Consider the following 27,142-nt stretch of genomic DNA (forward strand, 5'->3'; position numbering starts at 1 on the left):
AGGCAGTAGAATCACTTGAACCCAGGAGGCGGAGGTTGCAGTGAGCCGAGATCGCATTGTCGCACTCCAGCCTGGGGGACAAGAGCGAGACTTCGTCTCAAAAAAAAAAATTTTTTTTTTGGTTTCTATAAATTATTTTATAATGAAGCGTTTCATCCTTGTATATTTTGAGGCACACTTAAAAGTTTTGATATAAAGTTTTGACTTCTTCTTGTTCAGATATATGATGAAAATGTTAGGAAAAAGATGATGTAAACAATTACTATTTTAAAAATTTTAAATAACTTTCTGTCTTCTATCATAACCATATTGGATTATGCTCCCCTCCTGGTTCAAACAGTCATAATAGGCCTAATTAGAAAGCTCTGATTTTACCAATTATTTCTTTTAATTCCTCAATTTATATGATTTATTTTGACTTCTCTTTCAGCCCCTCCCACTTTTTAAGTCTCTGCAAAACTATTTGATCTCTGTAATGAGATTATAATACTACCTAAATGCATAGTTAGATTTCTGAAAGACCATTTCTGTTACATCCCATGTGCTGATTTTTTTTTTAATTACATGGCATAAATTTAGGGGACAAAAATTTCACGGTTTTTTTTATTCTTTTAATGCCATTTTATTTTTTCATGACAGATTCAAAAGCTTTGTGACAGAGTAGCTTCATCTACTTTATTGGATGATCGAAGAAATGCTGTTCGTGCTCTCAAATCATTATCTAAGGTTTGTAACTTTGTAAATGTTTTAAGTTTCTTAAGTTGGATATTAGTTACTTTAGTAACATTTTTATTTTTTATGTGCAGAAATACCGCTTGGAAGTGGGTATACAAGCTATGGAACATCTTATTCATGTTTTACAAACAGATCGGTAAGTCTCTGTTTAATGATTTTTTTCCCTAATTTTTCTTGAACTTTTGTTTTAGAGTCAGCATCACTATTCCAAAAGATTGCTTTTTTTTTGGTATTTTTTGGTAGAGATGGGGTTTGCCATGTTGCCCACGCTGGTCTCGAACTCCTGGGCTCAGGCGATCTGCCCACCTCGGCCTCCCAAAGTGCTGGGATTGCAGGTGTGAGCCACTGCGCCTGGCCCTAAAAGTTGTTGACATACTAAAGCTGTTAAGTTTTTACTTCAGATGTCATTTCGATAAAGATTTATTGGACAGAGTGCGAGCCACTGTGTTAAGCATAAAACAGACATATAAAAATGGGATAAAGCAACTCTTTAATGCCTTGAGATTTTGAGTTTGAATTGGGCAAGTGGTATTCATTTACACTGGGCAAGTAGATATTCATTTACATATAATATACATATTTTGGTATTCAGACTTGCTTTTTTAAGAGAAATAAACTGCAGTAATAAGAGTTAAGTGTTAAATATGAGCCTGTCGTAAGAGAAAGATTGCCAGATATGGTGGCTCAAGCTTGTAATTCCAGCACCTTGGAAGGCTGAGGTGGGAGGATTGCTTGAGCCCAGGAGTTCGATACTAGCCTGGGCAACATAAAAAATAAAAATTAGGCCAGGCATGGTGTCTCATGCCTGTAATCCCAGCACTTTGGGAAGCCGAGGCAGGTGGATTACTTGAGGTCAGGAGTTCGAGACCAGCCTGGTCAAATGGTGAAACCCGGTCTCTACTAAAAATAACAAAAATTAGCCAGGCCTGGTGGTGCATGCCTGTAATCCCAGCTACTTGGGAGTCTGAGGTGGGAGAAATCACTTGAACCCAGGAGATGGAGATTACAGTTAACCAAGATCGTCCAACTGCACTTCAGCCTGGGCAACAGAGCAAGACTCTGTCTCAAAAAAACAAAAAAGATAAATAATAAAATAAAAATTAGCTGGGTGTGTTGTCACATACCTGTGGTCCCAGCTTCTCGGGAGGCTGAGGTGGGAGGATCACTCGAGCCCAGGAAGTCAAGGCTGCAGTGAGCCGTGATCATACCACTGTATTCCAACCTGGGCAGCAGAGTGAGACCTTGTCTTGACAAAATAAATATAAATTTAAAGAAAAAGAAGCATCATTTAGCCCATTTTTAGCTCTTTCAATTTTTTTTTTTTTTTTTTTTTGAGATTAAGTCTCGCTCTGTCGCCCAGGCTGGAGTGCAGTGGCATGATCTCAGCTCACTGCAAGCTCCGCCTCCCGAGTTTATGCCATTCTCCTGCCTCAGCCTCCCAAGTAGCTGGTACCTGTTACAGGTGCCCACCACCACACCTGGCTAATTTTTTGTATTTTTAGTAGAGACGGGGTTTTACCATGTTAGCCAGGATGGTCTCGATCTCCTGATCTCGTGATCCACCTGCCTTGGCCTCCCAAAGTGCTGGGATTACAGGCGTGAGCCACCGCGCCCAGCCTTTTTTTTTTTTTCAGATAGAGTTTCGCTCTCATTGCCCAGGCTGGAGTACAATGTTGCAGTCTAGGCTCACTGCAGCCTCTGCCTCCTGGGTTCAAGTGATTTCTCCTGCCTCAGCCTCCCGAGTACCTGGGATTACAGGCATGCGCCACCATGCCTGGCTAATTTTGTATGTTTAATAGAGATGGGGTTTCTCCATGTTGATCAGGCTGGTCTCGAACTCCTGAACTCAGGTGATCCGCCCACCTCAGCCTCCCAAAGTGCTGGGATTACAGGTGTGAGCCACCACACCTGGCCCTCAATTTCTTTTTAAGAGATTTTATCTCCATCTTTGGTTTTCATTAACTGTGCATGGATAGCTTCCAGATCTTAGCTACAGTTGAATGTGTCTTACAAGCTTTAGCTGTGCATTGTACATTTCTACTCTACCAAGATCTCTCATAAGCCTCTCAAATTCAAAATGTTCAAAGTTAATTTATCTCTGGTCCTCCAATCCTTCTAGGCTTTCCATGCCCCCTTCGACCACTTTTACCCTAAGTTCATCTCAGTCATGAGCATCTTTCCATTCAAGCGAGAAACTGGAGGATTCTTAGGGAACTCATTCCTCTCCTGAACCCATCATGCCTACACAGGCCAAAAAACAGCTAGAGTCCATTATTTTCTTTCCGTTTCCTTTTTTGGCCTTAGTTCTGGCTCAGTGTCAATCACTTAAATAATTTCCACAGCCTCTGTGTTTGTTATCTTTGGCCGTGTAACAAATTACTTCAAAACTTAGTGGTTCAAAATAAAATATTTATCACCTCATAGTTTCTGTGGATCAGGAATTGAGGATCAACTTAGCTAAGTGGGCTCAGGGTCTCTCATGAGGTTGCCATGAAGCCATCAGCCAGGTCTGCAGTCATCTGAAGGCTTGACTGGGGCTGGAGGATCTGATTCCAAGATGTCTTACATTGCTATTGGCAAGAGGCCTCAGTTCCTCAACATGTTTCTCTCTTGGTAAGGCTGTTTGATATGGCAACTGCTCTCCCAGAGCAAACTATCCTAGAGAGAGAAAAATAGAAAGCCACAGTGCCTTTTATAACTCAATCTCCAGAGTCATGTACTGGCAATCCCATCATATTCTAGTTGTTAGAAGCAGGTTAATAAGTACAGCCTATACTTAAGGAGAGGAGAATTAGGCTTCACTTTTTTGAAAAGAGATGAATCGAAAAGTTTTGGACATAGTTTAAAACAATCGTCATCTCCAAAGTATTATTTTCCTCCAGTCTCTTTGTATTTCCATTCAGTCTATATGTTGCAAGAATTATCCTTCTGAAATGCGTATCTTCAGTCATTCTCTCATTTAATGCATTTCACCAGTTCAGTGAAGTGTGAAGTTCATGTTTCTCAAACAAAGCTAAAGATACAAGCTTTTTAAAGATCTGTGTACTGCCTGTCTAATCTCGTAGACTCGTTTTCAGTTATATTTCAGTTATGCCCAGCTGCTTGTCCATAACAGTTAGGACCTTTTTTCTTCTCCCCAGACAGTGTAACTCAAATTGACTACCTTTTCAAAGCCACTAAGTCTAATGCATTTGAATAAGCGAATTGGATGCATCAGGACTGTCTGTGTTATTAACATCACAGTAGGTAACTGTGGTAGACAGAATTATGGCCTCCCAAAGATATCTATATCCTAATCAACAAAACCTGTGAATTTTACCTTAGATAGTGAGAGAGACTTTCCAGATATGCTTAAGTTAAGGACTTTGACCCTGGTGGACCCAGTGTTATCACAGGGTCCTTAGAAGTAGAACAGGAAAAGGCTGGGCACGGTGGCTCATGCCTGTAATCCCAGCACTTTGGGAAGCCGAGGTGAGCGAATCCCAAGGTCAGGAGATCGAGACCATCCTGGCTAACACGGTGAAACCCCATCTCTACTAAAAATACAAAAAATTAGCCGGGAGTGGTGGCGGGCGCCTGTAGTCCCAGCTACTCAGGAGGCTGAGGCAGGAGAATGGCAAGAACCCAGGAGGGGGAGCTTGCAGTGAGTCAAGATCGCGCCACTGCACTCCAGCCTGGGTGACAGAACAAGACTCCGTCTCAAAAAAAAAAAAAAAAGAAGTAGAACAGGAACGCAGAAGAGGAAGTCAGAGTGTAGTGATAGAAAAAAAGGACTCAACCTGCTCTTGGTGGCTTTGAAAATGGAGAGAAGGAGCCGTGAGCCAGAGAATGTGGGTGGCCTTTAGAAGAGCAGGAAAAAAGAAGCAGATTAGTGTGATGATTATACATACTTATAATCTTCTTTATTCTATGAGTGTTAAATCACACGCATATTTTATTACTGAGTCTTATAAAGTTAATGATGAAATGATTAACATCTCAATATGGAAAATAGAATGCATCTCTTATGTAAAGTGGTCTTTATTGTCTTTCATAATAATTTTTTTTTTTTTTTTGAGACGGAGTTTTGCTCTTGTTGCCCAGGCTAGAGTGCAGTGGCACAATCTCGGCTCACTGCAACCTCTGCCTCCCAGGTTCAAGCGATTCTCCTGCCTCAGCCTCCTGAGCAGCTGGGGTTACAGGCATGCACCACCACGCCCGGCTAATTTTGTATTTTTAATAGAGACGGGGTTTCTCCGTCTCTACTTTTGGTCAGGCTGGTCTCGAACTCCCAACTTCAGGTGATCCACCTGCCTCAGCCTCCCAAAGTGCTGGGATTACAGGCGTGAGCAACCGCACCGGGCACCATAAGATTTTTTTTTAAGAAAATAATATATAAAGAAGAAAAACACTCTAGTAGTTGAACTAGAGATAACAGTTACTTTTCTTTATATTTTTAAGTCTACTTCGTTCCTCTAGATATGAACAGTTAGATTTTTATATATGTATACATATATATACATATGTAAACATACACAGACACACATAAAATTAACTGAGTCATGCTAGTTTTGCTGGTTTTAAAGTTGTACTTATTTTGTAAATTTATAATGTTTTAAAATATGCATAGATACAAACGTATACATATATATTTTACTAAATGGAATAACTGTGCATAAATTTTTATATTTTTCCACTTGCTATTATATCAAGAATTTTTAAAATTATCATGTCACTAAATATTCTTCGGAAATACATTTTTTAGCTTCTCAGGATTCAAAGTAAAAAAACAAAATACATTTTTTAAATTGCCGCCTTATATGTATGAATTTGCCATACTGTGTTTTTTTATTATTGAGCATTTAGGTTGCTTCTAAATTTTCACAATTAGAAATAAAACTACACATTTTTTACAGTTTGCACTCTGATATTTTCTTAGAGTATGCCTTTAGAAATGGAATTTTCTAAAATTGCTAAATAACTAAAAATGGTCATAACAGTTTATACTCTCATCAGCAGTGTATAAGTGTAATAATTTCTTTTTTCCAGTTCAGATTCTGAAATAATAGGTTATGCTTTGGACACACTATATAATATAATATCTAATGAAGAAGAAGAAGAAGTAGGTAAGTTTCCAGTTATTTTTACTGTGTTTTCTGTACTTAAAACCAACTGGGTTGTGCTAATTTTGCTGGTTTTAAAGTTGGACTTGTTTTATAAATGTATAAGTTTTTTTACTTTTTTCATTAAAAAATTTAATAAACACATAGGCTTAGATCTAGAAAAGTGTCTTTAGGATGATTGCTTTGTGTGTAAGTCAGAACATTATAGTGAGATGGAATAAGATCCTTCTTTTTAACTAATATTTTTGCCCGCTTGTGTTTGGTTTTAGTTAGGCAGTATGCATATTAGCCAGTTCTGGATTAAATAATTATTTATGGCTATTGATTGAAAATTTATATTATTATCTAGTGAGCAATATAAAATTAGAGAGTTTTTCCTAATAAATACTTAAACTTTTTACATAGGACTTATGTTAATTTATAAAGTGCAACAATTTTTTAAATTTAGATTTTTTTTCTTTACATTTTGTCTGTTTGGTGAACATTGCTATAAATCGGTTTGAAATCCACACATTTCTTTGGCACATTCATTTTCTTTTTTGTTTTAAAATATTTGCACACTTAACATAAAGTTATCTGTCTTATTTATTGTCACTGTGTGAAGCTTGATTGGAAGTCTGTATACATTTTGTCCTGTATACATTTTGTTCTATATGTTGCAAAACATTCGCAGTAACATTTCACAATTCTGTTGAAGAGTGTATTTGTCATATCAAATTGGCTGTTACAGTAGGACGTAGTAGATTTTTCATTATTCTGTAAAGTCAGAACAGTGGATATATTCATACATTTTATAAATCTAATTTAGACTGAAGTTATATGATCTCTCAAAATTCTGAGTAGACAAATAATAAAGAAGTATAGATACATACTGACCTTGCTCATATTTTATTAAAATTAAAAGTAGAGCAGGAATATATGTCAATATTAACTTCACAGAATACTAGTATTGAGAACATCTGAAACTGGATCATGTTGCATAGTCACAATTTCTTAGACATAAATATCCTTTTTAAAAAACTTTTATTTTGGCTGGGTGTTATGGCTCATGTCTGCAATCCCAGCACTTTGGGAGGCTGGGGTGGAAGGATTGCTTGAACCTAGGAGTTCAAGAGCAGCCTGGGCAACATAAGTGAGACCCCATCTCATTTAAAAAAAATTTTTTAAACAAATTTCTCCATGATATCTATCCTATAGCTTAACTTTATTAATTTCTTAAGGGTGAAAAATATTTAGTAAATGTAATTTGGTACCCATGGAAAAAGAGGTTGTCAGTCACGTGACAATACATAGATACAATACACACAAGAATATACTTTGAAGAAAAAGATACTTATTTTCCCTAGTTATTTCTACAATGAGAAAATTAGATGCAACGCAGTTGTTCAAATACATTTTTAAAAATGACATTCTTTTCTTTCCTTTTATCCCCCTTAGTTGTTTCAGATTAAAAATTTAGCTCTTTTTCCAGTTAATTTGCTGGGATAATTTTTTCTGTTCTTAAAAAAAATGTGTAGCAACAATATTTTTTAGTTAGGAGGTTTTTTTTTAATAAATTTATAATCATGTTTAGAGCCCACCTGTTGCATTTTTCTTTGTGTTTTTAGGCTCTTTAATTTAGCATCCAAAAATGATCCTTTGGATAAACAGTAATAGAATCACTTTTATTAAGGACCTTTTTTTTTTTTTTTTTTCTGAAAATTTAGTCATCCTGAAAGAGTCAGTTAAAAAGTAGACATTGGGCTGGGCGCGGTGGCTCGCGCCTGTAATCCCAGCACTTTGGGAGGCCGAGGCGGGTGGATCACTTGAGGTCAGGAGTTCGAGACCAGCCTGGCCAACATGGTGAAACCTTGTCTTTACTAAAAATACAAAAATTAGCTGGGCGTGGTCGCACACACCTGTAATCCCAACTACTCAGGAAGCTGAGGCAGGAGAACTGCTTGAACCCAGGAGGTACAGGTTGGAGTGAGCCGAGATTGTGCCATTGCACTTCAGCCTGGGCACCAGAGTGAGACTCTGTCTCAAAAAAAAAAAGAAAAGAAAGAAAGTAGACATTGGCTGGGCACGGTGGCTCACGCCTGTAATCCCAGTACTTCGGGACACCGAGACAGGCAGGTCACCTGAGGTCAGGAGTTCAAGACCAGCCTGGCCAACCTGGAGAAACCCCGTCTCTACTAAAAACACAAAAATTAGCCAGCCATGGTGTTGCACACCTGTAATCTCAGCTACTTGAGAGACTGAGGCAGGAGAATCACTTGAACCTGGGAGGCAGAGGTTGCAGTGAGCCAAGATTGTGCCACTGCACTCTCCAGCCTGGGCAACAGAACAAGACTCTGTCTTAAAAAAAAAAAAAAAAATAGACCAGACATGGTGGCTCACGCCTGTAATTCCAGCACTTTGGGAGGCCAAGGTGGGTGGATCACCTGAGGTCAGGAGTTCGAGACCAGTCTCACCAACATGGTGAAACCCCATCTCTACTAAAAATACCAAAATTAGCCGGGCGTGGTGGTGCACACCTGTAATCCCAGCTACTCAGGAGGCTGAGGCAGTAGAATTGCTTGAACCCGGGAGGCGGAGGTTGCAGTGAGCGGAGATCGCACCATTGTACTCCAGCCTGGGCGACAGAGGGAGACTCTGTCTCAAAAATAAAATAAAATAAAAATAAAAATAAAAATAGACATTGAGACATGTCCTTCAGTTCTGTTATTGATACTTTGCTTTTATTGCTTCATGAAATGTAATTCTTAGCTGACACAATGAACTACATTTTAGAGTTCTTTAGGACTGTTTTACAACCCTCTAATGATAAATCTGTCTCGTAGTCCTAAAAATATAGCGTATGCTAAATCTCTTTTAGTATATCTGAGGTATTTGACCAAAGTACATATGGATCTCTTCTTCCAAAGGATTATGTAGCTTATTAAACATTTTTAAGCTCCTATTTTACGTGTATACTACTACATTAAAAAACTATTGTCTTTATCATCCACTTTTTATTTATTTATTTTTATCTACCTTTTCAGATGATGTTGAAGGTAAAAGATTGCATTTACATCTGCATGATGCTTTTAGGCATAGTTTCTGATAATATAAAAGGACACTGTCAAGTACTGTTTCTTCTGGCTGGTAAAAAAAAAATCTGAAATTTGTTTTACTATATAAGAATTCTTTAATTGAAGAGGAATATTTTAATAAACTTACATTACTATTATTTCTGCAGCTACTAAATCTGTTTACTGTCCAGAACACATAAAATATTCTAGTGCACCTTTAAATAAAATTAAAGGTTTTTCTGGCCAGGCGTGGTGGCTCACACTTGTAATCCCAGCACTTTGGGAGGCCAAGGCGGGCAGATCACTTGAGGTCGGGAGTTCAAGACCAGCCTAGCCAGCGTGGTGAAACCCTGTCTCTACTAAAAATATAAAAATTAGCCAGGTGTGGTGGCTGGTGCCTGTAATCCCAGTTACTTGGGAGGCTGAGGCAGGAGAATTGCTTGAACCCAGGAGACAGAGGTTGCAGTGAGCTAAGATTGTGCCACTGCACGATCCAGCCTGGGCGACAGAGTGAGACTTGTCTCAAAAAAAAAAATTAATAAATAAAAATTAAAGCTTTTTCTCTGGTAGGACAATTTATTCAAAATTACTTGTGTGTATTTCCTGGAAAAAAGTTTTTAGACAGTTCATTTAAAAATACTTGCCAAGTGCAGTGGTGCATGCCTGTAGTGCCAACTACTTGGGAGACTAAAGTGGGAAAACTGCTTGAGCCCAGGAGTTCGAGGCTGCAGTGAGCAATGATTGCACCTGTGAATACCCACTGCACTCAAGGCTAGACAACATAGTGAAACCCTGCCTCTAAAAAACAAACAAACAAAAATCTATAAAAGTAATATTTCAGTATGTATACATATATTTTTTACCTATATTCAGTAAGAACTGGAAGGTATTCTAGTTCAGAGAATGTATATTGATATTGTCCCTTTAAAATAATGCATACTCAGTAATGATGTTTTAGTTACTGACATTTCTTACCTTAACTCGTAGAACTCACTAGTTTTTTTATTTTCTTCTCTCTAATCTCTTTTAAGTTTCATTTACTTTTAACATTGATACTTGTTTTCTTCATAACTAAAGTAACCAAGTTTTTTTGGTTTGTTTTGTTTTACCAATTTCCTTGAGGTGCTTAACTTTTTTAAATGAAGAAGGAAATATTCGTATCTAAAGCAGTGTTTAAAAGGTACATCACAAAGTTGCCTATATATAATAAAAATACTAACAAATAAACTAACTTATTAAAGTATGAAGCATTACCTTTTGTGACATTTGAATCTCTTGTTTGACATCAGATGATACCAGAGCATTGTGCCTTGACTCTTGTCAAGCTATTTCCTTGCTGGGTAGTAAAGATCAGTAGTTGTTTCTATTATTGTGATACTGTAGAGAGCTTTAAAATTTATCTTTCATGTTTATCTTATGTAATCCTCATAGCAGCCAGTGAGGTAGGTGGTATTTTTCTACTTTCTAAAGATGAGAAAATGGAAGCCCAGAGATGATGTAACTTATATGGTATCACTGAGTAAGTAGAAGAACAATTTTACTTTTTTTTTTTTTTTTTTTTTTTTTGAGACAGAGTCTCACTCTGTTGCCAGGCTAGGGTGCAGTGGCACAGTCTCGGCTCACTGCAACCTCTGCCTCCTGTATTCAAGCGATTCTCATGCCTCAGCCTCCCAAGTAGCTGGGATTAGTGTCACCACACCCAGCTAATTTTTGTATTTTTAGTAGAGACAGGGTTTCACTATATTGGCCAGGATGGTCTCGATCTCCAGACTTCATGATCCGCCCTTCTTGGCCTCCCAAAGTGTTGGGATTACAGGCATGAGCCACCACGCCCAGCCAGAACAATATTTTTAAATACATTTTTTCCTTCCTTTTTTTTTTAAAGTATTTCTTAGATTTTTAATTCAATAAATTGTGGCCAATTTTTCTTTATTTTTCTGACTGGGTTCTTTATTAAATCATGTAATTCACAAAACTAGTTTATAGAATATTCAGATAAATGTTAAAAAGTATACATGTACCTGGCCAGGTACGGTGGCTCACGCCTGTAATGCCAGCACTTTGGGAGGCTGAGGCAGGCAGATCACAAGGTCAGGAGATCAAGACCATCCTGGCTAACATGGTGAAACCCCATCTCTACTAAAAATACAAAAAATTAGCCAGGCGTGGTGGCGGGCCCCTGTAGTCCCAGCTACTTGGGAGGCTGAGGCAGGAGAATGGTGTGAACCTGGGAGGCGGAGCTTGCAGTGAGCAGAGATCGTGCCACTGCACTCCAGACTGGGCGACAGTGCGAGACTCCGTCTCAAAACAAAAACAACAAAAAAAGTATACATGTACCTGTTTAATTAACTACCAGTATAAACGAAGATTATTTGATATTTCTTCACTCTGAGGACTGATTTTATTAGGATATCTCCTTTTATAAAGCAATTTCTTTTCTTCATAATATAGATTGTGAACTTAGTATAGAATAGAATTCCAAAGAGAAGATCCAGAAATGTTTTTAAATATTGTTTACACCTCTGGAAAAAGTACTACTAGAAATACATTTGAAGAGTAAATATATCTATGCATGCGTACTTAAATGCCAGCCATATAAACAGGCCTGAAAACTATCCAGAGCTATACAGACAGATGATGGTTCAACTTCACGATTTTTTGATTTACGATGGTGTGAAAGCAATATACATTCAGTAGAATCTATACTTCGAATACCCATACAACCATTCTGTTTTTTCACCTTCAGTACAGTATTCAGTAAATTACATGAGATAATACTTTATTATAAAATATGATTTCTGTTATATTTTGCCTAGCTGTAGGATAATGTAAGTGTTCTGGGCACATTTAAAGTAGGTTAAACATATTAAATACATTTTCAACCTATGATATTTTCAGTTTTTGATGGGCTTATCAGGACATAACCCCATTGTAAATTGAGGAGCATCTGTGTAAGTACTTAGAACGGGCATTTTTTTATTTTACATTCCTATATTAAATTTATTTTTACTATGGTAACAAAGGGCCATTTCATTTTTATCTTATTTTTTTCATTTACCTTACAATAAATGGTCATTTACAGGTTATAAATGCACAATATAATATATAAACTATAGGCTATAAAAAACTTAGCTATAAAGGTTGTAATCTAATGATTAATGATGAGAGAAGATGGTTTACTTGTTTCATGCCTTTGCTTACACGTATAATTGGTATAATTTCTCATGGTTCTAGTTTTTGTTCACAACTTTTAGATATTAGTGTAGTAGTTTATAGTAGTTTGTAGCTTAATTTACTGCTACACTTAAAGCTTTGTGTATTACCTTAATTGCTTAGCTAATTTGGGGATACTTCATTAAAGTTCAGAAGTGCTGTCTTATGACTGTAACTTAAAAGAAATGGCGTATATCTCACACTTTTTCAAATTGACAGTGTTAAACCAGAAGGAACCATTGATCCTTGTAATAGGACCATATTTTACTAGTTCAGTTCAAAATGTAAATTTTAATTCTATACTGATAAGCTACAGCATATTATACAATATAGCTACAGAATAAATTAAAGATATTAACTCTACTTCTTCCTAAGTTATTTGCTTGTGCCCAGTGCAAACACTGAATTAAACTTTTTCTGGTATTAGACCTGACTTCCTTAAAGCATAGCACAGAAGTTCTAGAGAGTGTTCTGTATTAAAACGGGTTCATAGTTAAATAAACATAAATACTATATTCCCCTCTGAAGCTTCATAAAATTTACACTGGTGTAGTAAGTGCTGAGAAGCCTGCAGTGAAAAATCTTGTTCAACTTTGTTTAATCCAAATATATTTGTCCACAGGGGCTTAGTTCTGCCATGTACCTATTAACATGCCACACTATCCTTTGTTTTGAAATATACTAACCAAGGCTTGGTTAGTTGTTTATGTTTACATATGTAAAAATATTTCAACATTTTAAAATACATTTTAGGGGAAGAATCCATCAAGTCTATATGTGGTTTTTTTTCTTCCTTTTTAGATTAGTTTATAATTTTTAATGTTTTCCCAAATGTCAATAACTATAATTTTTAGCTTTTCTCATGAGGTCACAAACTTTTGGCCCAAGGGCATTGTCTATCTTGTAAGCAAGGCTGTTTGACCCACATAGTATTTTAAGTAAGGTGAATAAGTTGCCACTATTATAAATTGGGAGCTTGTGTCAACGTTTGTATTTTAGACTTCTTTTTGAAAAAACCTGAAGATTGGCAATACCTGGATCTGCATTCCTACATGGCAACAGGCAGCTGGAGTTGAGTAACTGCTGTTTTCCTTAGACAGAGCATATACTCCCCATCCTCTAATGTTAGCCTGCTTCACTCACTCACATTACTGTCTTTTGTTTGTAGTCAAGTTTTCATTCTCTGCTATCTTCACACCACTGAGATAAAAAATAATTATGCTATAAATTACTTTCAAACGCATGATTTTTAAAGTTATATATCTCATTCAACAAATATGAATATATGCAAATGGAAACTAGCCCTACAAAGCACCCATGACTAAGTTAATATTGCTGTGATTTTAATTTCTTGAGGGAGACAATTCTGAGAGAATATTACTTGTCTTTTGAACATAGATTTCTCATGTATTTGGAGAATAATTTATTTGACATGCATTCCCAATGGGCCCTTTTTGTATAATTTCTTTATCTGCTTTTTTATCTATACAGTTTCACTAGAATTTGGCTAACATCTCCATGATTTGTTAGGGTTCTGGGGTGGCTTAAAAAACAAGGTAGGCTCATTAGCCCACCAGCTCTTGTGAGATTTTATTGGGTATGTAACATTTACCATACTGTGGGAATCAGGACTTCTGTTCATAGCTGATTCTAAAGATGAAAGCTTTCAAAAGATTCTACCAGCTCCCAAGTTCCCATTATCTTTTCCAATTTTTTCACAGTCTCCTTTTCCATCATCCTGTCAGTTTGTAAATAAAATGGGAAGGGTGTGCAGTTCTTGCTATGTGCCTGGTACCAGTTCTTTTTTTTTTTTTTCCAACTCCATTCATAAGTTCACCTTTGAGCTTTGAAAATCACAATTTACCAAGCAAGGTTTTACCTTCAAGCGTGTGTAAGTAATTAGGACACAATTTTATCAGCTCACAAAGGAACAACAGGAAATCCTTTAAGGAGATCTGTAGCAGAGAATGTCCCTTGAATCCACTCTAGTTATGTTTGAGTATTAGGCTTCCTTATGATTATTATCAGGCCTTTGTAGCATCAATCCTCTGCCACCTTCACTTAATACCCTCAGTATATCTGTGATTATGTAGTAACATGATAGCTTTCAAGTGTACTTTTGGTGTTTGTTTTTTGTTTGTTTTTTATCCTTTATCCTCTCCTCTACCTGTTTTCCTGAAGTGGAAGTAGTGACTGCTTCCCGATATAATTCTTCTGAAGCCACCACTAACCTAAGATATAAAACTTTAATTAAAATACAGTGAATTTACTTTTATTTAGAGTCAGTTACTTTTTTTGATAGATTGCATATAACTTTTATGAGAAAGAGAGAAATATAAGGTAAAATATCAAGACTTACAGACAACTTTCTGGAAGTATAGGATATACTTTTTCTTATGTCTTTTGCATCTTGGTGATAATACTTATTAATGATAACCTTATAAGAATCCAAAATTCTGAATCATCAAAGGAAGATTGTTAGGTTCTGTTTCATTTGAAAACTTAGTAAATATATAGCTTATGTTGTAAATCTTAGGACCATGGTTCTCAAGTGAGGGCAATTTACCCTCCTTTACCCCACTCCTAGTACATTCCGCAACGTCTGGAGACATTTTTGGTTGTCACAGTAAGAGGAAGTAAGAGAGTGCTACTGCGTCTAGTGGGTAAGGCCAGGGACAGTGCTAAACATCTTAAACTGCACGAGGAGGTCATACAACAAAGACGTACCTGGCCAGAAATGTCAGGAGTGCCAAGGTTGAGAAATCCTGTCTTGGGGATGATGATTTTGATGATGGTGATGATGACAGTGCTTCTGTTTATTGAGCACATTATTTACAAAGCCCTATGCTAGATGTTCTACTTATTTTAAATCCTCACAGAAAACCCCATGTGAAGACATTATCTCCATTTTACAAATAAGGAAACTGAGACTTGACAGAGTTAGGCTACTTGCCCAAAGTAACATGGCTATTAAGTGGTTGAATATGAGTTTAACTGGTCTTACTCAAAAATCTTTGTGAGCTTCTTCCATTATACTGTACTGCTACTCAGGAAAGTATTTAACTACTCAACCCTAGTCATTTTGTAAATGAATGGAAATTACCTCTACCTGTGTTAGTAATGTACCTCATTTCTTGAAGTTCAGAGGGGATTCTACCTATCATTAGTATTTGATAGTCACTCCTTTCTCATTGAGTACTTTCTTCATTTGTTTGTCAGTCTGCGAAGTCTCCTGGCTTTCTTCCTTTTTCATTGGTTACTCTTTGTCTCCTTCGCAGTTTTCCTCCCCATCTCCCCAACCTCTTAATATTAGAATGCCACAGGGCACAGATTTCTTTCCTTCCCCCTTCCCTCCCTTGTTGATTTCATCTAGGCTTGTAACTTCAAATATAATTTATATGCTTGCCACTCAAATGTGCATGTCCAACCCAGACCTCTCCCCTGAAGTTCATCATTGTATATTCAGATATTCACTCAATATCTTTACTTAGATACCCCCTAACACATACAGCTTTATTGACATCTAATTAATGTAAAATAATGAACATATGTAAATAAACAATTTGATGACTTTTGATACATGTATAAACATGCTTGGCTTTTTCTTTTAAAAGTTTGTAACTCTTGGCCGGGCATGGTGGCTCACGCCTGTAATCCCAGCACTTTGGGAGGCCAAGGCAGGCGGATCACAAGGTCAGGAGATGGAGACCATCCTGGCTAACACAGTGAAACCCCATCTATACTAAACGTAGAAAAAATTAGCCGGGCGTGGTAGCAGGCATCTGAAGTCCCAGCTACTCGGGAGGCTGAGGCGAGCGGATCACGAGGTCAGGAGATCATCCATTTTGAGTTAATGGGTGTATTTTTGGTCTGTTCTCTTCTATTGATCTATGCATGGTACATCATCTTGATTACTGTAGCTGTATAATAAATCTTGAAATTATGTAGTGTTAAGTCTTCTAACTTTGTTGCTCAGAATTGTTTTGACTGTTTTAGGTTTTTTGCATTTGCAAACCAATTTTAGAATCAGCTTGTGAATTTCTACAAAAAGGGTCAACTGAGAATTTGGGATTCTGTTGACTGTAGATCAATTTGTGAAAACCTGACATAAAAATATTGTACCTTCTAATACAAGAACACAGTATATCTCTGTTTTTGCAGGTCTTCTTTAATTTCTTTTTTTTTCTTCTCCTTTTTTGGGACAGGGTCTTACTTTGTCACCCAGGCTAGAGTTCAGTGGTACAATCATGGCTCACTGCAGCCTCTAACTCCTGGGCTCAAGGGATCCTCCCACCTCAGCCTCCCGAGTAGCTGGGACTACAGGCATGCGCCACCAAGCCAGCCTAAATTTTTATTTTTTGTAGAGACAAGTTCTCACTATGTTGCCCAGGCTGGTCTTGAATTCCTGAGCTTAAACAATTCTGCCTCAGCCTCCCAAAATGCTAGGATTACAGGTGGGAGCCACTGTACCTGGCCTGTTCAATTTCTCTCAGCAGTGTTTTGGAGTTTTCAGAGTGTAAGTAGCACACACCTATTGTCAAATGTTTTTGTTGATGCTATTGAAAGTGGTACTGTTTTTTGAATTTTAATTTCCGATTGTCATTACTAGTATCTATTAATAGAAATACAATTAATTTTGTGTATGACCTTTTATCCTGCAACTTTCTAAGCTTACTTATTAGTTCTATTAGCTCTTTTGTAGATTCCATAGGATTTTCCTCATAGACAAACATGTCATCTGTAAATAAAGACAGTTTTACTTCTTTTCTAATCTGTATTCCTTTTCTTTTTCCTGCCTTATGGCACTGACTAGGATCTTCAGGTCAATGTTGACTAGAATTGATGAGATTGGACATTCTTGCCTCCTTCTGATCTTAAAGAGGAAAACATTCAGTCTTTCACCATTAAGTATGATGTTAGCTGTAAGGTTTTTGTAGTTGCACTTTGTCATCCAGTCTTGTGACTTTAAATATCATTTATATGTTTACCACTCTAATGTGTTTATCCACACAGACTTCTCCACTGATATCTATGTTAGTATTTATCCAGCTTCTTACTTGGTATATGCACTTGGATTTTTATAAGGTATCTCAAACTTAATATGTCCAAAACTAAACTTCTGATTCTCTGTATACTTCCAGCTTGCTTCTCCCACAGTGTTTCCAATCTCAGTAAATGGCAACCCTATCCTTCTAGTTCTTTAGGCCAAAAGCTTGGAATCACTCTTCCTTTTCTTTCCCCACACTCCTCTGTGCAACATGTCAACAAATCATAATCCTTTGTAATAAAAATTATGACATCTAAGGTCTAAGCCACCTTCATGTGACTCTTTTCTTGATTATGCCTCCTGACCTGTCTCCCTATTTTCCTTACTCACTGACAGTGTGTTCTCAGCATAGCAACCAGAGTAATCCTTTTAAAATGAAAGTATAAAGCAGTGAATTCTTTTACTGATATAAGAGATGATTAAGAGAAATATTTCTTGGAGTTTCTGAAGGATAAACCCAGCATATTTAGGTAATTAATCAACTGGAAAACATTTCATTTCTACTTTTGGTCTCTTCTTTTTCCTCTATAAACAATTAGATGGGATTATGACTGTCAATCTTGGATTGCTTTGCTTTTCCTGTCATCTGCTGGGTTTTTTCCCTCACATTTAGAAAAGAATTTTCTGAGGGATAATGGGTTTGATCTTGACTTTCAGCTCCATTGGCTGATAGTCACTTAGTGGAGTACTATATGGAAAAGTATTCTGACGCTCAGCCAATGCTGTGATTAATTAGCTGTGTCTGGTGTGAGTGAGAGAATGGGAAGTAGTATGTTTGCATCACTAATTTGAGTTTATAATATAGGCAGATCTTAAGTAGTTTGCTTTGGCAGTTGTTGCTTTCATTTTTAGTGATCTTTTTTTTTTTTTTTTACATAGTACATTGAGACAACAAATACTTTAATTAAAAGACATTTAAACATTAAAGACAAATGTAAAATCCTTTAAACAATAAGTGAGAAATTAGATGTCAAATTCTGATTTTATTGCCAAAGAATTTTGTAGGATATGTATATGAAAAAGATACTGAGAAATCTGGAGTAGATTGGTTTAATTTCATAATTAAATTATTTAACCCAGTAACACTAACAGTCAGCAAGGACTATATGTTCAATATTGTTTTGGGGACAAGGGTTTTAAGATACAACTTATATACAATAAAATTTACTCTGAATTGTAGTCTGAGTTTGGGCAGAAGTATACAGAAGTGTCACCACTACCACATTCTAGATAGACTATTTCTATCCCAAATTGTTTCCTTATGCCCTAATAGAAGAGTAACCTAAAAATGCCCTTGAGAAAATATGAGTATTTAAGTATCCTTTTTTTAGATATCATATTTAAACATTTAGCCAATAAAATGTATTTAAATGAATTTGAACATTATTTTAAGGATATAGCTTTACATAATAATTGTGATATTGCTACCAGCCACACTGTTCCAGTGTTGAATTGTTTACCAGGAAAATTATCATTCACGCTTAACTCTTCAATGAAAGGATATTTTAAAATAACCTACTATTAAATTGAAATTCTTTATTTTTGAATATTACAGAAGAAAATTCCACAAGACAGAGTGAAGATTTGGGAAGCCAATTTACAGAAATTTTCATTAAGCAGCAGGAAAATGTCACTCTTCTGTTATCTTTATTGGAGGTAAATAGGGAACCTTGATGTTTTTGTCATCTTAATAAGCTGCTTTTGTTGCCTTTTGGATGTTATTGAGGAAGTAACATGTATATACCTTTAAAGGTAGTAAAGTTTATTGTATTATAGCAAGAGATCCACATGGATGTTTCAAGAACTATGTAATCACTTAAAGTATGCTAAACTTCCATGTTTTACTTGTAGTTTCTGGTAAAAGTTATTAGTGGAAAAAATGTTTTTCTCGAAAATGTGAATTACAGATGTTAAATATTTTGAATTCTTACATTGCAGGAGTTTGATTTCCATGTCCGCTGGCCTGGTGTGAAGCTTCTTACTTCTCTTTTAAAACAACTAGGGCCTCAGGTGCAACAAATTATTTTAGTCAGTCCTATGGGTAAGTGACTTATCTTTTTTATATTATTTTGATTCAAGCATGAGTATCATTTCCTAGAGAAAGGGACTGAAATGGTGTGTTAGTAAATTGTTAATAATTTGAGTCACTATTTGTATTTTTGGTCTGCCAGCATTTTTCACATGGTTGTATGTTCTAGGTGTTTCAAGATTGATGGACTTACTAGCGGATTCCAGGGAAGTTATACGTAATGATGTAAGTTAAATTTCAAAAAGAAATACAAAAATATGTGGCTTTTTTTTCTCTTGCAAATGAAATCCTTGTTGTTGAGTTTTAGGAAATTAGATTTAGAAAGCTGGAGTAATGACCTTTTTTTAAAAAAATTAAAAATTAGTAAACAGAGATGGGGGTCTCTCTATGTTGCCCAGGTTGGTCTTGAATTTCTGGGCTCAAGCAATCCTCCTGTCTTGGCCTCCCAAGATGCTGGGATTACAGACATGAGCCACTGAGCGTGGCTGGAGTAATGACCTTTTAAAGTTGTACAAGGCCACATTGTTTCATTCTTTCCTGGCTATCCAGTATTTTGGGTTAGACAAACCATTTTGCCATTCAAATTTATTTCTTCCATTAGTTTAGGATTTCTTATACTATCTGCTGAAAGGTTGTATTTGACACCAAACTCTACCTCTGCAATTTTCTTTTCCTCATAAAGAGTAGCGGAGATACCTCCAGACATTGAACTGTGTAAACCCAACAAAGCATTATATTTGGAATCCTTGCCCTTATTTGATTGAGTGTGTATTTCTAAGGATTTGCCTTGTTAATCATGGAGCATGATTTGCTCTGGACTTATTTTCCATTCCGATTTATTTTATATTTGCATATAAGTTTGAATATTTTGTATTTGATGCTGTATATTTTGTTGCATAAGCATTTTTCTCTATTGTTACCTACAACTTGATAAAAATTCTGTAATATTTAAAATAGCAATTAGAAAAATTAAATTCTGGAGCTAGGAGATCATATCAAGCTAATTAAATCTCCATATTTATAGTGAAATGCCCAAGACCCACAGAAACCAAGTAAAGTTAAGTGTTCTTTGTTAGCCATGTCTTACTCATCTTTTTATTTATGGTATTGGCCGTGTGACTTTTTCATCCTAAGTTTTAGTAAATATCATTTGGATTGCTCTTAGCCTTATAACTGGTTAATGGCAAAGCAGAGACAAAACTGAAGCATTCTTAACTCCTAGTCTATGGATACAGTTTTTAAAATTTGTTGTACTTAAAATTTTGTAATATGTATATCAATTCAGTATTATAGGTAGTGAACTTAATACAGTATGTAACTTACAAGAAGGACATTTTTTTTTGAGATGGAGTCTAGCTCTGTCACCCAGGCTGGAGTGCAGTGGCATGATCTCGGCTCACTGCAACCTCTGCCTCCCGGATTCAAGCAATTTTTCTGCCTCAGCCTCTCGAGTAGCTGGGATTACAGGCATGTGACATCACCCCCAGCTAATTTTTTTGTATTTTTAGTAGAGACAGGGTTTCACCATATTGGCCAGGCTGGTCTCGAACTCCTGACCTTGTGATCCACCCACCTCGACCTCCCAAAGTGCTGGGATTACAGGCGTGAGCCACCGCGCCCGGCCGAGAAGTACATTTTTTATTCTTTAATATTTAAGTGTCATTTTTAAGAAATGTCTTATTTAACTAGGTATCTATCTATTAGAAATTTGGGGTATCTTTCCTTGACTAAAATATGACTATGTATCTTTAAAGCTTCTGTTCTATTCTTTCCATGTCCTGCAATTTAAATAAGAGGATATCATGCAAATCATAAATTATGTCTCCCCACATCTTTTAATTTCATTACCACTTATTTTCATTTTCAGATATAAAAGTGCTCTTAAAAAAAATAACTGCATTAGGCCAGGCGTGGTGGCTTATATCTGTAATCCCAGCACTTTGGAAGGTCAAGATGGGTGGATCACCTGAGGTCAGGAGTTTGAGACCAGCCTGGTCAACATGATGAAACCCTGTCTCTACTAAAAATACAAAAAATTAACTGGGTGTAGTGGCGGGCGCCTGTAATACCAGCTACTTGGGAGGCTGAGGCAGGAGAATCGCTTGAACCTGGGAGGCGGAGGTTGCAGTGAGCTGAGACTGTGCCATTGCACTCCAGCGTGGGCAACAAGAAAGTAACTCTGTCTCAAAAAAAAATAATAATAATAACTGCATTAATTCTGGAATCTCCTGTTTTCCTTTAACTCTTTACCTTTTTATTCTGCTCCTAACCTTTTTTCAACTTTTATTTGAGACAGACAAATAAGTGTCTATTTATATTGGTTTTTATTAATTTTATGATCACAGATTAAGTTCTGTTTTTGTTGTAATGTCTGGATTATTGGTTTTTACATGTTTTATAACCTTTTTTTTATTTTAATAAACCTATTCAAGAGGGTAAAGAGAAAAGAAACTAAAATATACTAAGACCTTGAAAGCTAGTGGGTTCTATAGAACTTATTTTGTCTCCTTTAGTCTTTATAAAAACCCTGTGACAAAGATATTACATGAGTATACTATAAGTTCATGTAATTTGCTTAAAGTTGGCACAACTAGTCAGTAGGGCAACCAATTTTTTATTTTTTTATTTCATTAGTTTTTGGGGAACAGTTTTTGGGGAACAGTGTTTGGGCAACCAGTTTTTAAACCCACTTTATATAACTCAGAGCCTAAATATTTTCTCCACTGTATTTCTTCTTCTCTTTGTTAGTAGTTAAACTGAAGTTGGCAGCATTAAGTGGGAGAATTTGACATCCAAAAATAACTGTTTTCACCTTTTTCTCTCATATTAATGTTGAAAGTTGACAAGAAAATGAGTGGAATAAGCCCAATAAAGTCATAGGCATTTTTTGTCTTATATGAATACTTACCTACTCAGTACTGGTAGCCAACAGCTAGTTTGCCTCTATGGGACTTTTTACTACCTATTTGCTATTCCTCTTCCTCTACAATAATATCTGTGCTTTTTTTTCGTAAAATATTTGTTGTCTCTTTTACCATCATGCTATTATTTAATACTTAGGGACTCATAAATTGCATAATACCAAAATAAGCAAAAATGGGTAACAGTGAGTTTTTATTGAATGATAAAGATATTATAAAATATATAAACTGTATCCAGCTTACCAGGAGCTGAGAAAAACTGGAAGTCAGAGGCAATGGCTGCTGTGAATTGTCTTGTGTTGGACATGCCATTCACGAAGCATCAATTTTCATCTTCCTTTTTTATTTTGACTTAGAATCAAGTTTTGGGGATTTGAAGGCCAGATGTTTACAAGAATTTCTGAACTTTCTCTACTAGACTGTGGTGGTGTTCATTGATTTATATTATTGAATTGCAAGTTTTTCATTATTACTGTTGTGAAGCAGGTACAGTGGCATTCCTGAGACAGATACTTTCATGCTCAACTCTTTAGCTGCAACGAAAGCTATGTAGTGGTTAATGAATATAAAGGAATTCTAGTATGTTTATATCATAAAGTTGAAAGATAACTGAACTAGGAATTGTTAGAAGAGGATTCTAGTCTAGTGTCTGTCTCTTTGAGGTTTATAACCTTAGGGAGACAAATTGCTTAACTATTCTGTTCTTGTTTTCCTTATGTATAAAGTAAAGGAGTTGGGCTTGCAAAATCTCTGCCAGTTCTAAAATTCTGTGATTTTTGAAGTAATTTAAAAATGTCTCATAAATTTTGTACTCCACTAAACATTCTCTTTCTTCTCTATAGGGCGTCTTACTACTGCAGGCACTAACAAGAAGCAATGGTGCAATCCAGAAAATTGTTGCTTTTGAAAATGCTTTCGAGAGACTACTGGACATTATTTCAGAGGAGGGGAACAGTGATGGAGGTATAGTATGAAGAAATTATTTGAAGACATTCCTTTTGTACTCACTGACTTGTTAGGGTATAGGGAATACAGTTGGAGGGAGAAATGGGGACTCTTATTTATACTCTTTGTTTTTCTTTCACTATGGCATGTTGACTATCGATTTCTCTTTATCCTGTTTCATATTTGTTAGGCTTTTACAATCTAGGTTGGTGTCTTTCCTTGTTTAGAAAATCTCACCTATATCTCTTCAAATACTGTATTGCTAGGTTTCTTTTATTTTTCTGAAGCTATAGATTATTATGCATGTCCTTTTGCAGATTTGGTGATAGGGAGTTGAGTTGAAGGCAGAATTATATACTGAGTGAATAGGGAGGACACAATTGAGAATTAATGGGAAAGGTTAGAAATAGTCTTTTGGAGAATAGGAGAGCTAGTTAATTATTGTAATTAGGAAGATTTTCAAAGTGATACGAACCCCAGCTGGGCTTGATGGCTCATACCTGTAATGCCAGCACTTTGGGAGGCTGAAGTGGGTGGATCACTTTAGGCCAGGAGTTCGAGACCAGTCGGGCCAACATGGCAAAACCTCATCTTTACTAAAAATACAAAAATTAGCTGGGCGTGGTGGTAAACACCTGTAATCCCAGCTACTTGGGAGGCTGAGAAACGAGAATCACTTGAACCCGGGAGGTGGAGATTGCAATGAGCTGAGATCGCACCGCTGTACTCCAGCCTGGGTAACAGAATGAGACTCTGCCTCAAAAAAATAAAAAGGGGGATAAGGGCCCCATTAAGGGTATTCACCATGATTTTACAATAGCACCAACTACTTGAGTGTGTAATTTATTTTCTCCCCTAGCAGCACTCAGCTGCCTAGGTGCAAATATAGAAAAAAAACTCAGTTTTTCACAGGGTTGGGCCTTTTCTGGGAAGGTGCTATGAAAAGACAGTAAGACAAGAGAACATAGTATATTCCTATTCCACTTCTGTAGAGTGGAAGAAACGAAAATCTCTATAATCTAAGCTAGATAGGGAAGGAAATAAAAACAAGGGAGTTTCTAAAAAAGGCATTTGGTTGGTGGGCCAAGAGACTCAAGGAAGCCATGGAACAAATGTGTTGAAAATACTTGAGCCACAAAAATAGGTTTTAGTAAGAGAGGATTATCGCCAAAGATGAGGCAAAAAAACTGAGTGGTCTAGGTATTAGACGGGTTGCTGTTGAAATTAAAATTAAGTAGACAGCAGAGCTTAGAGAAAGAAGACTTTGAGCAAGATGCCAATGATGTTTTCCGTGGACAAAGGATAGTGACTATGAATTTGTTATATATCTGCAATGAGAAGTCGTAAGAGATGGTACAGCCATATAGCCAAGCCTCAAGGGAACAGGAGATTTTATGAGAGTAGAGGAACTATGGTCTCTCGAAAGTACACTGGGCTGGGAGGGTCACAGCTTCAACATGCTGACTCTAAGGTACATGGGATTGAGAACATGAATTACTTTCACTTGAGAACATTACAAGATAAAGCAGATTCTTTAAAGAAACGGAGCATTTCAAGATATAATTGGGTTATAGGGTGTTTTATTAACCAATATCTGAGAGTTGGCAATGGCATCATGAAAGGGTTTGAAAAGATTAAATGGAAGAGGGGAAATGCAAACTATTGTAAAATGAAAAACTGGGAAAGCAGAGATGACCAGAGAGGTGTACATTTTTGGAGGCAATTGAAGAAAATAGGGTTTTAAGGAAAGATAGAATTTGCTAAGTTTTCCTAGTTGCTAAAACAAGTTTCAGTGGCTCTTTGTAAGTGATAGTGGCCATTAAGGCTCTAGGGTTCACTAAGGTGCATGCTGGAAAGAAGGCCTGCCAGTTGTAGTGAGGGCTTTTGACATGCTTTTTCCTTCAAAGCCTTCAGATGGTCCTAATGGCAGACCATATTTAATAGATATTTATGGTCCTACCTAAGAGGCAGATAGAGTGGTTCCTCCTCATAAGATGAGGATCCATATGGTTCCTCAGTAGGAGGTGAGGAAGCCTCTAATCTGGAGAGATTAGGTCTGGTTAAATCAGGAATTCTTGAAAAGCATTTAAAATGTGCACCTTAAGCATTTTAAAGTTAAATGTAATAAAATAAAGGTGTATATTTATGTACTAATCTTTGGAATAGGGCCAGAACTACTACCTTGAATATGGGTATGCTGATTAAAGTTTTTCATCATCTTCCTTGCATACATCACGCCTATAATATATCATGTAGGATTTGCATTTTGTTTTCTTTAAAATAGATTGCAGGATATATCTGGGTTTTTAAAATTACTTTTCTATCTTTTAGAATTGTATTATCCATATTTAACAGCTATATTTTTAGTGACGTCCTTTCATTGAGTTTTGCCAAAGACTTAAATTTAATTTTCAGCAAAATAACTGTTTTCACACATATTTTGGTAGTTTTATATAGTATTTAATTAATAACCAGTGCAAATAGCATGGTAGATTTGTGAATGAAACAATTGATTCTTAGATGCAATACCAAAAGTGTGATCCATAGAAAAAAATTGATAAATGAGACTTCATTAAAGTTGAGAACTTGTGCCCTGCAAAAGATTCTGTTGAGAGAATGAAAAGATACTTCACAGATGAGAAGAAAATATTTGCAAAACACATGTTTGAAAAGGGACTTGTATCTAAAATATATTTAGAACTCTTAAAACTGAAAAATAAGAAAACAATAAGCCAATTTAAAGATAGACAAATGATCTGAACAGACATCTCACCAAAAAGATATACAGATGGCAAATGACCATATGAAAAGATGCTCAACATTATATATCACTAGGGAACTGCAAATTAAAACAATGAGATATCACTACATACCTTTTAGAATGAGGAAAACTAAAGAAAACATTGACACCACCAAATGATGGCGAAGATGTGGAACAACAAAAACACATTTGTTGCTGATGGGAATGCAAAATGGTACAACTACTTTAGAAAACAGTTTGGTGGTTTCTCACAAAGCTAAACATAGTCTTATGACTCAACAATCACGCTCTTTGGTATTTACCCAAATTAGTTTAAGACATATTCACACAAACATCTGCACATGAATATTAAAACACCTTTGTTCATAATTGCCAAGACTTGGAAGCAACCAAAATGTCCTTTAGTAGTTGAATGGATAGATAAACTGTACTACATCTATACAATGGGATGTTATTTAGCAATGAAAAGAAAAGAGTTATCAAACCATGAAAGGACATAAAGGAACCATAAAGGCATATTGCTGAGTGAAATAAACCAGTCTGAAAAAGCTACATAATATATTATTCCAACTATAGTTGACCTTTGAATAACTTAGGATTTAGGGACACCAATGCCCCAGTTGAAAATCTACTTTTTAACTTTTGGCTCCCCCAAAACTTAACCGCTAATAGACTATGTTTACCAGAAGCCTTACCAATAACATAAGCAGTGGATTAATACATTTTGTACGTTGTATGTATTATATACTCGATTTTTACAGTAAAATAAGGTAGAAAAAAGAAAACATTAAAATCAGAGGGAAGAGAAAATATATTTACTGTTCATTAAGTAAAGTGGATTATCATAAAGGTCTTCATCCTTGTCATCTTCATGTTGAGTAGGCTGAGGAGCAAAAGGAAGGATTGGTCTTGCTGTTTCAGGGATGGCAGAGAGGAAGAAAACATATATATAAGTGGACCCACGCAGTTCAAACCCAACTGTTGTTCAAGGGTCGGCTGTATATGACATTCTGGAAAAGGCAAGACTATGTGGACCATAAATATTTAGATCAGTGGTTGCCAGGGATTTGGGGATAGAGGAAAGAAGAGATGAATAGGTGAAGCTCAGGGTATTTTTTAGGGCCATGAAACTATTCTGTATGATACTGTAATGGTGGAGACAAGAGATTATACTTCTGTTAAAACTCATAGAACTTTATAGCACAGAGTGAACCTTAATGTAAACTGTGGACTTTAATTAATAATAGTGTATTAGTATTCATTTATGAATTGTATTGCAAGAAATGTACCACATTAATGCAATATATTAATGATGGGGGAACTGGAAAGTACAGGC

The 27,142-nt window shown here is 36.2% G+C and overlaps 1 protein-coding gene across 4 annotated transcripts in view; it reads left to right on the plus strand.

Moving 5' to 3' along the window:
- Positions 1-27,142, plus strand: part of USO1 (USO1 vesicle transport factor) — an 89,710-nt gene that overhangs the window by 27,157 nt on the left and 35,411 nt on the right. For 2 of the 4 annotated variants that reach the window (NM_001290049.2, XM_006714397.4), the window contains exons 2-9: positions 640-726; positions 807-871; positions 5,764-5,840; positions 8,861-8,872; positions 18,706-18,806; positions 19,089-19,191; positions 19,349-19,404; positions 22,943-23,063. In NM_001290049.2, the coding sequence (NP_001276978.1) occupies positions 640-726; positions 807-871; positions 5,764-5,840; positions 8,861-8,872; positions 18,706-18,806; positions 19,089-19,191; positions 19,349-19,404; positions 22,943-23,063 (622 nt within the window). The remainder of the gene's footprint in view (positions 1-639; positions 727-806; positions 872-5,763; positions 5,841-8,860; positions 8,873-18,705; positions 18,807-19,088; positions 19,192-19,348; positions 19,405-22,942; positions 23,064-27,142) is intronic. The other 2 variants (XM_006714396.5, NM_003715.4) reach the window with 1 other exon arrangement.

Source organism: Homo sapiens, chromosome 4, assembly GCF_000001405.40.
Source record: "Homo sapiens chromosome 4, GRCh38.p14 Primary Assembly".
NCBI lineage: Eukaryota > Metazoa > Chordata > Mammalia > Primates > Hominidae > Homo > Homo sapiens.